Genomic DNA, 14,127 nt, shown 5'->3' with positions numbered 1-14,127 from the left:
GAGAAGGAAGGGGAAAGGAGAAGGAAGGGAAAGGGAAGGAAGGGGAAAGGAGAAGGAAGGGAAAGGAGAAGGAAGGGAAAGGAGAAGGAAGGGAAAGGAGAAGGAAGGGAAAGGAGAAGGAAGGGAAAGGAGAAGGAAGGGAAAGGAGAAGGAAGGGAAAGGGAAGGAAGGGGAAAGGAGAAGGAAGGGAAAGGAGAAGGAAGGGAAAGGAGAAGGAAGGGAAAGGAGAAGGAAGGGAAAGGAGAAGGAAGGGAAAGGAGAAGGAAGGGAAAGGGAAGGAAGGGGAAAGGGAAGGAAGGGAAAGGAGAAGGAAGGGAAAGGGAAGGAAGGGAAAGGAGAAGGAAGGGAAAGGAGAAGGAAGGGAAAGGAGAAGGAAGGGGAAAGGGAAGGAAGGGGAAAGGAGAAGGAAGGGAAAGGAGAAGGAAGGGAAAGGAGAAGGAAGGGAAAGGAGAAGGAAGGGGAAAGGAGAAGGAAGGGAAAGGGAAGGAAGGGAAAGGGAAGGAAGGGAAAGGAGAAGGAAGGGGAAAGGGAAGGAAGGGGAAAGGGAAGGAAGGGAAAGGGAAGGAAGGGAAAGGAGAAGGAAGGGGAAAGGAGAAGGAAGGGAAAGGAGAAGGAAGGGGAAAGGAGAAGGAAGGGAAAGGAGAAGGAAGGGGAAAGGAGAAGGAAGGGGAACGCAGAGGAAGGGGGAGCTGGGGCTGTCAGAGCTGGTGGCTGAGTGAGGATCCCAGAGGGTCCGAATCCAGCTGCCCAACAGGGCCTGGCAGAGACCAGGAGCAAAGGGAATCCACTGTCGTTAGGAATGCAATTCTCAGGCCAGGCAGGGTGGCTCATGCCTGTAATCCCAGCACTTTGGGAGGCCGAGGTGGGCAGATCACAAGGTCAGGAGATCGAGATCATCCTGGCTAACATGGTGAAACCCCGTCTCTACTAAAAATACAAAAATTAGCCGGGAGTGGTGGCGGGTGCCTGTAGTCCCAGCTACTCAAGAGGCTGAGGCAGGACAATGGCAGGAACCCAGGAGGCAGAGCTTGCAGTGAGCCGAGATCGCACCACTGCACTCCAGCCTGGGCGACAGAGCGAGACTCCCTCCAAAAAAAAAAAAAAAAGAAGAAGAGAAGAGAAAAGAAAAATAGAAATGCAGCTCTAAGGGGCCCAGGGCAGGCTCTAGGCTACGATCTCATCTGTGTTTCAACCAGGCTGTGAGGAGGATGGGAAGGGGCTGAGGCCTGACCCCCGACCCTGGGGAATGCCCAGGGTTCCCCTTCCCCGTCACTGGGTCTGGGGCCTCAGTCTCCTTCCTGTAATGTGGGCTGTGCCCCTGTCTCGGGGGGACTGCCTTGTGAGGGTGTGCGCTGGGATGAGGCCACAGGGGCCCCTCCACTTGCAGTTTCCAGACCCATCCCTGTGCCTCAGTTTCCCCATCTGTAACATGAGGGTGTCTTGGTGCCTTCCTTGGAGGACAGCTCCCTCTGTGTCTCAGTTTCCCCATCTGTAACATGAGGGTGTTTTGGTGCTCTCCTTGAGGACAGCTCCCTCTGTGTCTCAGTTTCCCCATCTGTAACATGAGGGTGTCTTGGTGCTTTCCTTGGAGGGCAGCTGGGAGAGGCAGATGAGTAACTGTTAATCATTTCCAGCTGCGGGCTCTGCTTTCTGTGACCCAGCTCAAATCTATGTGCCCGCAATGAGCTTTTCCAAGGCGAATGCACCCATGGAGCTCCTCAGGGGAAAGAAGGGGAGGGCTCTGCCCTTCCTGGGTCCCAGTCGTTCCTGACCTCCCCTGGGCTAGTGCCCCCAAGCCCAGCCTGGCACGCTTTCCGGCCCCACCCCTGGGCAGATGGGCGGGCGCACGCCTGATGCTGGTGTGAGTCTCTCCCAAAGCTCCTGCGTCAGCGAGGTTGTCCCTGGCCACAGCGAGTCCACATGACAGCCTGGGCTGGCACGGGCCTCTCCCCAGCCCTCGGAGCAGAGTGGGTGGTCAGGACGCACTTGCTGAGGGAACCATGAGCTCCAGCCAGGGACCCTGCCCGGGCAGCAGCCTCATCGCTAGGTGCAACCCTACACTGGGCACTGTCCTGGGTGGGGCTGGGCAGGGCTCCCAGGAGACTTTACTCCTTGGCCTGAGGACGCAGGCGGCCCATCTCAGACATTAGCCTGGGATGGGTAGGGATTCCTAGGACCCCAGGAGCCGCCCTTGGAGGGACAGGCTGCAATGGGGCAGCTCTCTGCTCTCCCCTCCCTCCTCCTCCTGCAGCCCCTCCTTTCTTTTTTCTTTTTGAGACAGGGTCTCACTCTGTTGCCCAGGCTGGAGGGCAGGGGTGCAATCACAGCTCACTGCAGCCCCCAACCTTCTGGGTTCAAGCAGTCCTCCCACCTCGGTCTCCCAAAGTGCTGGGACCACACCTGTGAGCCACTGTGCCCCGCCAGCCCTCTCCACTCTTGCTGGAGAAAACGATGGGAAGGTGGGGCCTCTGGTTTCTCAGTGGGAGGGAGGCCCTGCCTGCCTCATGGCCAGGGCAAATGGCAGTTCTGCTAATCAGACCCACCCTCCTTATCTGTGCAGCTGGGGCAATGCCCTTAGCTGGGATATGGAAGCCGGCGTCCTGCTCCAAGGAGTGCTGGAAAGTGCTGGAAAAGCGGCAAGCACACACTCAGGCAGCTGTTCGTGGGGAGACTGCTGGCTGCCCCCGGGATCCATTCTCCTCCTTTTCCTTTGTGACTTTAAAACCCCCCGTTTTTAGCGGGCACACAGCCATTTGGGTTGAAGATACTTCCTGCCCCTGTGTCGCTGGCGGTGGCCAAGGGATGAAGGTGGGTCCCGTAACAGCTTCTAACAACTGTGACCCCCGGCCGGGCGCGGTGGCTCACGCCTGGAATCCCAGCACTGTGGGAGGCCGAGGCGGGCGGATCACCTGAGGTCAGGAGTTCGAGACCAGCCTGGCCAACATGGTGAAACCCTGTCTCTACTAAAAATACCAAAAAAATTAGCCGGGCTTGGTGGCGGGCGCCTGTAATCCCAGCTACTCAGGAGGCTGAGGCAGGAGAATTGCTTAAATCCAGGAGGCAGAGGTTGCAGCGAGCTGAGATCACGCCACTGCACTCCAGCCTGGGTGACAGGTGACAGAGTGAGACTCTGTCTCAAAACAAAACAAAACAAAAACCTGACCCTGACAGTCACCTGCTGCTTGTCCTTTTTCCCTTCTTTATGTCTCCCTCCTCCCTGCTGGCCAGCATACAGATGTGAGGGCTGAAGCTGGCATGGCCATTTTAAACCATGAGGATGCAGGGACCACCCTCTGCTCCCTTTCTGCAGCTGCCTCTGCTCTCTTAAGTTTTTTTAATTTGAGATGGAGTCTCACTCTGTTGCCCAGGCTGAAGTACAGTGGCCCGATATTGGGTCACTCTAGCCTCCGCCTCCCGAGTTCAAGTGATTCTCCTGCCTCAGCCTCCTGAGTATCTGGGACTACAGGCATGCGCCACCATGCCTGGCTAATTTTTTGTATTTTTAGTAGAGACAGGGTTTCGCCATGTTGGCCAGGCTGGTCTTGAGCTCCTGACCTCAGGTGATCCGCCCGCCTCGGCCTCCCAAAGTGCTGGGATTACAGGCGTGAACTGCCCAGCCTGGACTGTTCCCTGAAGTTCTTATGCGACAAGACATCGGGTTTCCCTGCTTTTTTCACAGTTTTTCCCCAACAAAGCCCAGAGGCATTTTCCAGGTGGAGACACCATGCCAGACACAGGGCGGACTCTCAGTGACCCTCCCACCCCAACGCGGAGCCAGTGTGGACCCTGATCTGAGTCTGGTGCCTGGAAGCAGGAGGCCTCCATGGTGACCCAGTGTCGGGGCACTGGGCCAGGAAGGGGCGGGGAAGAGGGTCGGATTCCCGGGCAGTGGGGATCTCCGCCCTGAGGAGGTCAGGACAGAAGCAGGTGACCCAGGTGCCCCAGCGAGGTCGGGGGTGGGGGCCGGGTGGGCACACAGCGCAGCACAGGCAAGGGCCCAAGTGGCATGGGCCTCCCCCCGGGAGAAGGCAGGCCGGGGGGAGTGGGAAGAGAGCCAAAAAGATGCCGGCTGAGAGGGCCTGTAGGGTGCCACCCGCACCTGCTGCTTTTGGGAGAAGCTGAGGCACAGGGTGAGATTGGGGCGCAGGGCCTCCACGTCCGCAGGCTCAGACCTCACTCTGAGCTTCGGGACCAGGGAGTGTGGCCTTGCCTCCTTCCTGCCCAGTCCCTGCAGACCTTCATCCGCTGAAGTCTTTGGGGGCCCTGAGAGACCCCACAAAGCAGCAGGGGCCAGGAAAGGGCAAGGGCCCGGCACCGTCGCAGAAGCTGAAACTGAGCCCCAACCCAAGGGCACACGAGTCTCACCCCCAGAGAAACTGAGCCCCAAGCCAAGCACACACGAGTCTCACCCCCAGCTCCCCCAGCCCCAACTCCCCAGGCCAAACTCCCCCAGCCCCGGCACCCCCAGCCCCGGCACCCCCAGCCCCGGCTCCCCCAGCCCCGGCACCCCCAGCCCCGGCACCCCCAACCCCGGCTCCCCCAGCCCCGGCACCCCCAGCCCCGGCACCCCCAGCCCTGGCTCCCCCAGCCCCGCTCCCCCAGCCCCGGCTCCCCCAGCCCCGCTCTCCCAGCCCCAGTTCCCAGTCCTGGTTCCCTAAGCACCTGGCTCAGGTGAGCACTCACCCATCAATGACAGGGGAGTCCCTCATGATCCTCTCTGCCTCGTCCCGAAAGAAGTCTGCAGTGCAGACGGCCACAAGGGGCCACAGCCACCATCCGCTCCACATGGTGGGGTCCCCGGGGACCTGTGTGCACTGCTGCCCTGGTGCCTCTGTGCTGGCCTGGCTGGCCCGTGCAGAAGGATGAGCTTCAGGCTGTGAGGAGCCACTCTGCCTGCCAGGAGAGGCACCAGAGGTGTGGGTGGAAGTGATGACAGGTGGCTGCTCTCCTGTTTATAGCTTCCCATGTTCAATAAGTAACCAGCACATTCCCCACCAGGGTGGGTAGGATGGAAGGCCGGACACTCAATGACTGGGCGTTGCTGTCTGGGCTAGGCGGAGGCATAGTAAGAAGCTGGGATCCCAGACCCAGGGGTGGAGCTAGAGCCCAGATGAAAGGACAGCAGGCTGAGAGCAGGCCCAGATGAGTGGTGAGTGGCTGTTGGCTCTAGCTGTGCTACTGTTATTACTACCACCTCCCTCAGGACCCGGGGGCCTAGATCTGCAAGCAAGACAACAGTCATTCAAATAGTGCATTCTCATAAAGCACCCCTTTCCACGTAAAAATCATCTTACGTGACTTGCCATGGGGGATAAACATTAGGGCGTTCCAGGAAGCTGCTGCACAGCCAGGTGTGCCCCTGGCGCCTGCCCTGTTGCTGAGGGGTCCGCACCCCCGGCCTGCAGCCCTCCAGCGTCACAGGGACCCACACTCCAGCTACAGAGCTTCAGGCCAAGCAGCTAGACACGTCCTTAGAACCGGGGCCTCTCTAGGACTCAGCAGAGCACATTCAAGTCGCCCGAGGGCTCCTGGGCACACAGTTCCCAGGTGGTGCCCTGACGGAAGAATCTTAATCCCAGGGCTGGGTGGTGTCTGGGGTTCTGGGGGACAGTGGGCTGAGCACTGGGGCTAAACCAGGCCTGCTGGGAGGAGCAGGAGGGAAAACTGGTCAGAGGCTTCGGGGGGGGGTGGGGGGAGCCCGGCAGGGAAGGAGGATCGCCCCAGCTGGAGGACAGTGGCTCCCTCTCGGCTCACTGCAACCTGCACCTCCTGGGCCCAAGCAACCCTCCTGCCTGAGCCTCCTGAGTAGCTGGGACCACAGGCGTGCACCACCACGTCTGGCTAATTTTTGTATTTTTTGTAGAGATGGGGTCTTCCCCATGTTTCCCAGGCTGGTCTCGAACTCCTGGCCTCAAGCAAACCTGCCTGCTTTGGCCTCTCAAACTGCGGGGATTACAGGCATGAGCCACCATGCCCAGGTCATGATAAATCGTATTTTCATTCAATATTTTAAAAAAATCAGAATTCATGTAAAAAAAATCCATAATGAACAAAGTATAAAACTTTAAAATAGCTGGGCACAGTCATTCACGCCTATAATCCCAGCACTTTGGGAGGCCGAAGCGGATGGATCACTTGAGGTCAGGAGTTCAAGACAAGCCTGGCCAATATGGTGAAACCCTCTCTGTATTAAAAAGACAAAAATTAGCTGGGCATGGTGGTGCGCACCTGTAGTCCCAGCTACTCAGGAGGCTGAGGCAGGAGAATCACTTGAACCCGGGAGGCGGAGGTTGCTGTGAGCCAAGATCATGCCACTGCACTTCAGCCTGGGCAACAGATCAAGACTCCATCTCAGAAAAACAAACAAACAAAACACAAACCGCCCCCCCTCCCCCACAAACCTTTAAAATAAAGACAGGCCCAATATTCTGATTTTTCCTTTTGCCTTCAGCTCCAATACTATCTACACAGCCCTGGACTCTGAGAACATCCATGTTCTGCTTGTCGCTTCAGAGGCAGAAACTGAGTGACAGGAGAGCATTTCCAAGAGCACCACACTCCCTCAGGTGCCACTAAGGAGAGAACTTGAGGCCACTGTATTTGTCCATTTTCACACTGCTATAAAGAAATACCCTTTGGGGGCTGGGCAAGGTGGCTCACACCTGTAATCCCAGCACTGTGGGAGGCTGAGGCGGGCGGATCACCTGAGGTCAGGAGTTCGAGATCAGCCTGGGCAACATGGTGAAACCCCGTCTCTACTAAAAATACAAAAATTAGCCAGGCATGGTGGTGCATGCCTGTAATCCCAGCTACTCGGGAGGCTGAGGCAGGAGAATCGCTTGAATCCGGGAGGTGGAGGATGCCATGAGCTGTGATCGCGCCATTGCACTCCAGCCTGGGCGACAAGAGTAAATCTCTATCTCACAAAAAAAAAAAAAAAAGAAAGAAAAGAAAGAAAGAAAGAAATACCTTTTGTGGCCGGGTGTGGTGGCTCACGCCTGTAATCCCAGCACTGTGGGAGGCCGAGGCGGGTGGATCACCAGGTCAGGAGATCGAGACCATCCTGGCTAACATGGTGAAACCCCGTCTCTACCAAAAATAAAAAAAATTAGCCGGGCATGGTGGCGGGTGCCTGGAGTCCCAGCTACTTGGGAGGCTGAGGCAGGAGAATGGCATGAACCCGGGAGGCAGAGCTTGCAGTGAGCCGAGATTGCACCACTGCACTCCCGCCTGGGCGAAAGAGCGAGACTCCGTCTCAAAAACAAACAAAAATACCCTTTGGGAGGCCAAGGCAGGAGGATCACGAGGTTAGGAGTTTGAGACCAGCCTGACCAACATGGTGAAACCCCTTCTCTACTAAAAATACAAAAATTTACTGGGCATGGTGGCCCTTGCCCGTAATCCCAGCTACTTGGAGGCTTTTGGAGGAGAATCACTTGAACCAGGGAGGCGGAGGTTGCAGTGAGCCGAGATTGCAACACTGTACTCCAGCCTGGGTGGCAGAGCAAGACTCCGTTTCAAAAAAAAAAAAAAAAAAAAAAAAAAAGAAGAAATATCCAAGACTGGGTTCCCCTGCCCTTCCTTTCCCTCTTCTCCCCTCCCCTCCTTCCTCTCTCTCTCTCTGAGACAGAGTCTCAGTAGGTCACCCAGGCTGGAGTGCGGTGGCACAATCTCGGCTCACGGCAACCTCTGCCTCAACTGATTCTCATGCCTCGGCCTCCGGAGTAGCTGGGATTACAGGCGCACACCACACCCAGCTAATTTTTTTTGTATTTTTAGTAGAGACAGGGTTTCATCATGTTGGTCAGGCTGGTCTTGAACTCCTGACCTAAAATAATGTGCCCTCCTCGGCCTCCCACAGTGCTGGGATTACAGGTGTGAGCCACCATGCCTGATCCCACATCTGACTTTTTTTTTTTTTTTTTGAGACGGAGTCTCACTCTATTGCCCAGGCTGGAGTGCAGTGGCGCAACCTCAGCTCACTGCAAGCTCTGCCTCCCGGGTTCATGCCATTCTCCTGCCTCAGTCTCCAGAGAAGCTGGGACTACAGGCGCCCGCCACCACGCCCGGCTAATTTTTTTCTTTTTTTTCTTTTTTTTTAGTAGAGACAAGTTTTCACCGTTTTAGCCAGGATGGTCTCGATCTCCTGACCTCGTGATCCGCCCGCCTCGGCCTCCCAAAGTGTTGGGATTACAGGTGTGAGCCACCATACCTGGCCCCACGTCTGACTAATTTTTTATTTTTACTACAGACAGTTTCACCATGTTGGCCAGGGTGGTCTCAAACTCCTGACCCCAAGTGATCCACCCGCCTCGGCCTCCCAAGCTGTTGGGATTACAGGCATGAGCCACCGCGCCTGGCCAAGACTGGGTAATTTTTAAAGGAAAAAAGCCTTCATTGACTCACAGTTCCACATGGCTGGGGAGGCCTCAGGAAAATTACAATCATGGCCGAAGGCAAAGGGAGGCAAGGCATGTCTTAAATGGCAGCGGGGGAGAGAGTTTGAGGGGGGGACTGCCAAACACTTTTAAAAACCAGATCTTAGGCTGGGTGCGGTGGCGCACGCCACCGCGTGATCCAAGCACTTTGGGAGGCCGAGGCGGGTGGATCACCTGAGGTCCGGAGTTCGAGACCAGCCTGACCAACATGGAGAAACCCCATCTCTACTAATAATACAAAATTAGCCAGGCGCGGTGGCTCATACCTGTAATCCCAGCTACTCGGGAGGCTGAGGCAGGAGAATTGCTTGAACCCGGGAGGTGGAGGTTGCGGGGAGCCAAGATTGTGCCACTGCACTCCAGCCAGCTTGGGCAACAAGAGTGAAACTCCGTCTTAAAAACCACCACCACCAACAAAAACAACAACAAACAGATCTTGTGAGAACTTTCTCGCTACCACGAGAACATGGGGTGAATGGCCCCACGATGCACTCACCTCCAGCGGGTCTCTCCCTTGACAGGTGGGGATTATAATCTGAGATGAGATTTGGGTGGGGACACAGAACCAAACCGCATCACTCAGCTCCACCATTCAGTGCCCAGTGCAACATGAAAATGCGGCACCCTTATTCACACATCGCAAGAATCTCAGGGCCTCTCAGGGCCTCACAGTGGCGGGAGGACGGGGGGCAGGTAGAGGGAGGCACATGTCTTCCGAGCACCAGACCGGGGCCGAAAGCCACGCGTGGACTGCATTTTGCACCGTTTCTGAGGCTCAAAGCCACGGACTTAATTCAACACGAGGGCGTCCTGGGGGTTGGGCAGGGCCCCGTGTCCTGGTAGGCTGTGGGTTCCCCTCTCACGACCACTGTTCAAGGGCAGCGTGGGTGAGCTGGTTCAATTTCTCGGCCTCAGTCTCTTCGTCTGTCAAGTAGAAGTCATGGATGTACCTACTTTACGACAGTCCTGCTGTGAGCACAAAGGTACCAGCCACTCAGATCACCCTCGGATCAAGGTAGTCACCTTACACCTGTCTTTTCCGTGGGGTTTTATAGTTTGTCCCAGAGTTTCCAGTTGCCTTTCTTCTCCTGCCCTACACTGGGTGCCCTTATCTTCCATCTTCCAAGCTCTGGACTCTGCAACCTCCCTCCCTGCCCCCAGAGCCTCCCCTCGTCCAACCTGCTACTCCCAGCCTGGAATGTCAGTGCTCACTTAATGCCTGCACTGAAGGTCTTCCACCTTTGTTTGGTTTATAGTCCTGATAGAGTTTGAATGTTTGTCCAGATCTCACGTGGAAACTGGATCCCAGTTGGGAGGTTTTGTGTCATGGGGACGGGCCCCTCATCAATGGCTTGGTGCAGTTCTGGAGGTAATGAGTTCGTTGGGAAGAGAACTGACGGTTAAAACGAGCCTGGTACCTCCCCCCTCACTCTCTGCCTCCCTCTCTGCACGTGATGCCCTGGGAGCAGGAGAATAGGGTCTGGGGGCAGGGAACTTAGGCCAATTCGTGCTGAATCAAGGAAAAACAGCGAGGCCTGGGGCAGGGAATGGGACGCTAATTTGTGCTGACTTCCTAAAAGAGAAAACACCAAGGTCAGGGGGAGAGAGTCCGAGGCCAAAGCACGCTGAATCCAGGAAAAACTTCAAGGTCTGGGGCAGGGAACCCAGGGCCAATTAACACCAACTTCCAAAAACTACACCCTGAGGAAGAGCCCCACGCCCAGTAGCAAAGGATCAAAGGCTGCTCTCGTACAGCCCCCACCACCATGTCCCAGATGGAAAGGAAAGTGCTGTGGACTGGCTGCGGGCCACCCTTTCATCTGCAGACACCAGTTTACCTCAGCCTTTGATTAGCCACGGACCAAATCTTTCATCCAGATAAGAGGTATAGGAACCATGAAAGGTGCCCTTAAGACCCAGAAAACTGGCCGAGGGGGTGGCTCACACCTGTCATCCCAGCACTTTGGGAGAGTGCGGCGGGTGTATCACCTGAGGCCGGGAGTTCAAGACCAGCCTGGCCAACAAAGAAAAACCCCGTCTCAACTAAAAACACAAAAATTAGCCGGGCGTGGTTGCGGGCGCCTGTCATCCCAGCTACTCCGGAGGCTGAGGCTGGAGAATCGCTTGAACCTGGGAGGCAGAGGTTGCAGTGAGCCGAGATGGCGCCACTGCACTCCAGCCCGGGCGACGGTGTGAGACTCCCTCTCAAAACAAAAAAAAAACAAACCCCAGAAAACTATGTAACAGCGCCCCTCTCACCCCACTCCCGACCTTTCTCGCTTTAATAAATCCCTGCTTTCGCTGCTTTCTTTCCGTGTTTTGTTCGTTACTTTGCACGTTTTGTCCACTTCTTTGTTCAAACGCCGAGGACATGGACTATTACGGTCCAGGCCATCCTTCCAGTGACACCTGCTCCCTCCCCTTCTGCCGTGATGAGAGGTTCCCTGGGGTCCTCACCAAAGGCAGACGCTGGTGCCACGCTTCCCATTCAGCCTCCACAACCATGAGCCAAACCCACCCCTTTTCTCTATAGATGACCCAGCCTCGGGGATTTCTTTGGAGCAATGCAAAGCAGACTAAACCCTATTCCATTAGAGTTGGCCCTGCAACCATTCCCTAGCAGCGGGTCGGCAGGAATTCACTCCCCAGTCCTCCTGTCTGTCTTTATTCTGCCCTCATCAGTAGTTTCTCTGGATGTGCACTTTGGGCGGGAAACCTTTGTCCCTCAGGAGGTGACCGCACCACAGTCCGTCTGTGCATGTGTGGTGGATGGGCCCGGCTGTGTGTGGGCAACCGCTGTTCCCTCCAGGCCTGGAGCTGCCTCTTTCCTCGGAGCGCCACGACTTCTCAGCCACGTGCTTTAGTGTGAGGCTTTTTCACTCCCTGGAGCGTTTCCTCTGCCTCCGGTCCAGGGAATTTCCAGTCGCCCGTATCCCTCTTCTTCCCCTCCTTTCTGAGCTCCGTCTGGCCAGGGTTTCAGGCAGGGGTTGCACTGTCTGAGCTTCCTTTCTGCCTCCTGTCCTGGCTTTCTTCCTGCTTATCCTGTGCACTCCATTTCCTCTGTTTTGTCTCCCAGCACGGTTCTTTCGTGTTTTCTTGGGGGTTGTGCGTCTGGTCTCCGGAGGGCGGTTTCCAAGGTTTGCTGTGTTCTTTTCCGCCCCGCTCCCGTCAGGGAAGCAGATCTGCTTGGACTCAGCTACACTCTGTTCTCTTCTGAGGTTTACCAAACGGAATGCAGACGCGTCTCCCATTGTTCATCTGGACCTTCTGTTGGGTTTGCAGACTTCCCTTGGCAGCGGGCAATCTTTGTCACTACAAATTTCATATTTAAAAATAAAGCAACAGCAAGGTGGGCCGTGCCGTATGTGTGAGCGGGCTCTCGACCCCAGGCTTTGTGTGGGGCGAGCTCCGGAGATGCCCGGTTACCAGGGCCCTTGAAGCCGGAAGGCATGAGCATTTTTTTTTTTTTACGAGATGGGGTTTTGCTATGCTGCCCAGGCTGGACTCCAACTCCCAGGCTCAAGCGATCCTCCCACCTCAGCCTCCCAAGTAGCTGGGTCCACAGCAGCTCCTTTTAAAGCAACTGCCACCACGCCCAGCAGCATTTTTAAAAATAGCTACCTCGATTCTCAAAAACATGTTTAGGGAAGGGCCTCCTGACCTTCCTCTGGCTGTGTGGGGGTTAGGGTGGTGTGTCTGTCTGGGTGGTCCTGGGGCCAGTTCTTCCAATTGGGAACAAACCCCGACCTCAGCGTCTTCCTCACTCCCGGCCCATCGTGCCTGCAACGTCTGAGCTGAGCTCCTCTCTGGCTCCCTGGTCTCTCGCTGGAACACCCTGGAACGTTCCCAGTGAGGCCCCCTAGTCCTCCTCACAGACACACTCTTCCATTCACTTCCTCCTTCCCAGAAATGGGTCGGAATCTTTGCCTGCAGCGGAGACTTTCTATTGTCTGACGAGTGTGTTTTTTTTTTTTTTGAGACAGAGTCTCACTGTGTCACCCAGGCTGGAGTGCAATGGCGCGATCTCGGCTCACTGCAACCTCCGCCTCCTGGGTTCAAGCGATTCTCCTGCCTCAGCCTCCCAAGTAGCTGGGACTACAGGTGCCCGCCACCACGCCCGACTAATTTTTGTATTTTTAGTAGAGACAGGGTTTCACCATGTTGGCCAGGATGGTCTTGAACCCCTGACCTCATGATCCACCCGCCTCGGCCTCCCAAAGTGCTGGGATTACAGGCGTGAGCCACTGCGCCCGGCCCGAGTGCGTTATTCTTTTCTAATTCCTTTCCTCTCACCTTCGTGGACAGGAGCAGGAGGAAATGCTTGTGCCTTACCTCACATCTTGACCCAGAGGGTGCAGCCGGCAGAGTTGCGGTGGGAAAGGTTCAGGGTGTGTTTAATTCTGTTTCTTCCACCGGTTCTGGTTGTGCGTCTTTCATGTCCCCGACTGACCAGGGTCCTTTGTCCTGCCCAGGCCCTCCTGCCTCTCCCCTCCCCTGGCCATAGTGAGGCTTAGGGAGAGAGCTGGGGTTAGTAGTCCTGGCCCCGAAAGTTAATGTTTAGAGAAGCGTTGCTAGGAGACCCCTCGGGGTGGGAGCAGTGCTCTGTGAAGAGTGTGGGCTCCTGCATGAGAGTCCTGGGTCCATCTCCAGAGATGGGTGCACCGAGGCCCCACCCCACACGCTCTCCTCACAGGGTGGTGCTGACTCGGCTCTGTCGAGACGCAGGTGACAGCCTCGACAGTGATGTCTGTGTTTCCACCCAGCTCTGTCTCCCAGAACCACACAGAAGCCCCATCCACAGCCAACATGCAGACGCCACCGTGGCCATTTCGGATGATACCACTTCTGCACAGGCAGCCACAGGCAATGCGGACCTACCCACGCCCCCCACACACAGATCATCGCAGACGAGAACACCTGGGCGCATCGCAAGCCCACACGGTCAGATACGTCCGCGTACCTAGAACAGACATGTGCAGACTTTCCCACGGGATGAGTAAACGCACACTCAGATACCTCCACGTGCACACAGACACACGTGCATGCACAGGTGAGCCGCACACGCGCACCTGCTCACCTGAGCCCTTCCTTGCATGTGCGAGGGACGGGAGCCCACACTCAGCGTGGGGCCCATCTGACCACCCATGGGGCCTGGCACAGAGGCCCCCAAATAAGCCTTGAGAAGGGAACATCGGGAGCCTGCAGCTCCACGGGGAGCCCGGCCCTGTCTCTCTCCGTGGGAGGCCCCGGTGGCTCACAGCAGGCTCAGCAGCCCCGGACTCTCTCTTCTGGCTCCTGACCAGGCTGATGTCTGCACTGGGGGAGTCCACAGGCCCCTCAATCTGCAGGCCCAGCCGTAAGGCCGGCACCCCACTTCTGCCCCCAACGCCTCCCTCCCAGCGTCCAGCCCACCCTGAGGCTGGTGGCTTCCCCACATCCCTCCTCACCCTGCCCAGGCCCCCCACGGTTGCCCCCACCACTCTGATCCCCCACAGCCCACATCTGCACCAGGGCGCGAGCTCTTCCTCCCAGTGAATCCCAGTGAAGCACTTCTCAGGGACTTCCCAACAGGCTCCCAGCTCCCATGAGGTCAGGGCCCCTCAGCCTGGCCTCCCCACCCTTGCTACCCCATCCTCCAGACACAGTCACCCCAGAAGCCACCCTCTCACCCCTGCCTGGAGCTGAGGCC

The 14,127-nt window shown here is 56.7% G+C and overlaps 1 protein-coding gene across 12 annotated transcripts in view, besides 3 other annotated features; it reads right to left on the bottom strand.

The window, feature by feature from the left end:
- DPEP1 (dipeptidase 1) overlaps nt 1–14,127 on the bottom strand; it is a 28,233-nt gene that overhangs the window by 6,343 nt on the left and 7,763 nt on the right. For 7 of the 12 annotated variants that reach the window (NM_001128141.3, NM_001389470.1, NM_001389466.1 and 4 more), the window contains exon 2: nt 4,684–4,893. In NM_001128141.3, the coding sequence (NP_001121613.1) occupies nt 4,684–4,787 (104 nt within the window). In that variant the 5' untranslated portion in view covers nt 4,788–4,893. Of the gene's footprint in view, nt 1–2,543; nt 2,568–4,683; nt 4,929–6,228; nt 6,244–12,770; nt 12,944–14,127 lie in introns of those variants that run through there. The other 5 variants (NM_001389471.1, NM_001389468.1, XM_047433693.1 and 2 more) reach the window with 4 other exon arrangements.
- Nucleotides 2,282–3,136: an enhancer, noted in NCBI's record as "H3K4me1 hESC enhancer chr16:89698470-89699324 (GRCh37/hg19 assembly coordinates)". NCBI's record gives its function as "activates a minimal SCP1, AML or CMV promoter by ChIP-STARR-seq in primed H9 embryonic stem cells {active_cell/tissue: H9 hESC(primed)}" and the evidence as "EXISTENCE:reporter gene assay evidence [ECO:0000049][PMID:30033119]".
- Nucleotides 6,615–6,784: an enhancer, noted in NCBI's record as "experimental_46531 CRE fragment used in MPRA reporter constructs". NCBI's record gives its function as "activates a minimal promoter by MPRAs in K562 erythroleukemia cells, with activity observed for both the introgressed and non-introgressed 16:89694907 variant alleles {active_cell/tissue: K562}" and the evidence as "EXISTENCE:reporter gene assay evidence [ECO:0000049][PMID:34662402]".
- Nucleotides 10,834–11,706: an enhancer, noted in NCBI's record as "H3K4me1 hESC enhancer chr16:89689900-89690772 (GRCh37/hg19 assembly coordinates)". NCBI's record gives its function as "activates a minimal SCP1, AML or CMV promoter by ChIP-STARR-seq in primed H9 embryonic stem cells {active_cell/tissue: H9 hESC(primed)}" and the evidence as "EXISTENCE:reporter gene assay evidence [ECO:0000049][PMID:30033119]".

This window comes from Homo sapiens, chromosome 16 (genome assembly GCF_000001405.40).
Source record: "Homo sapiens chromosome 16, GRCh38.p14 Primary Assembly".
Classification (NCBI taxonomy): Eukaryota; Metazoa; Chordata; class Mammalia; order Primates; family Hominidae; genus Homo; species Homo sapiens.
The sequence above is the reverse complement of the archived record's forward strand: the minus strand, read 5'-3'. Positions and strand labels throughout refer to the sequence as shown.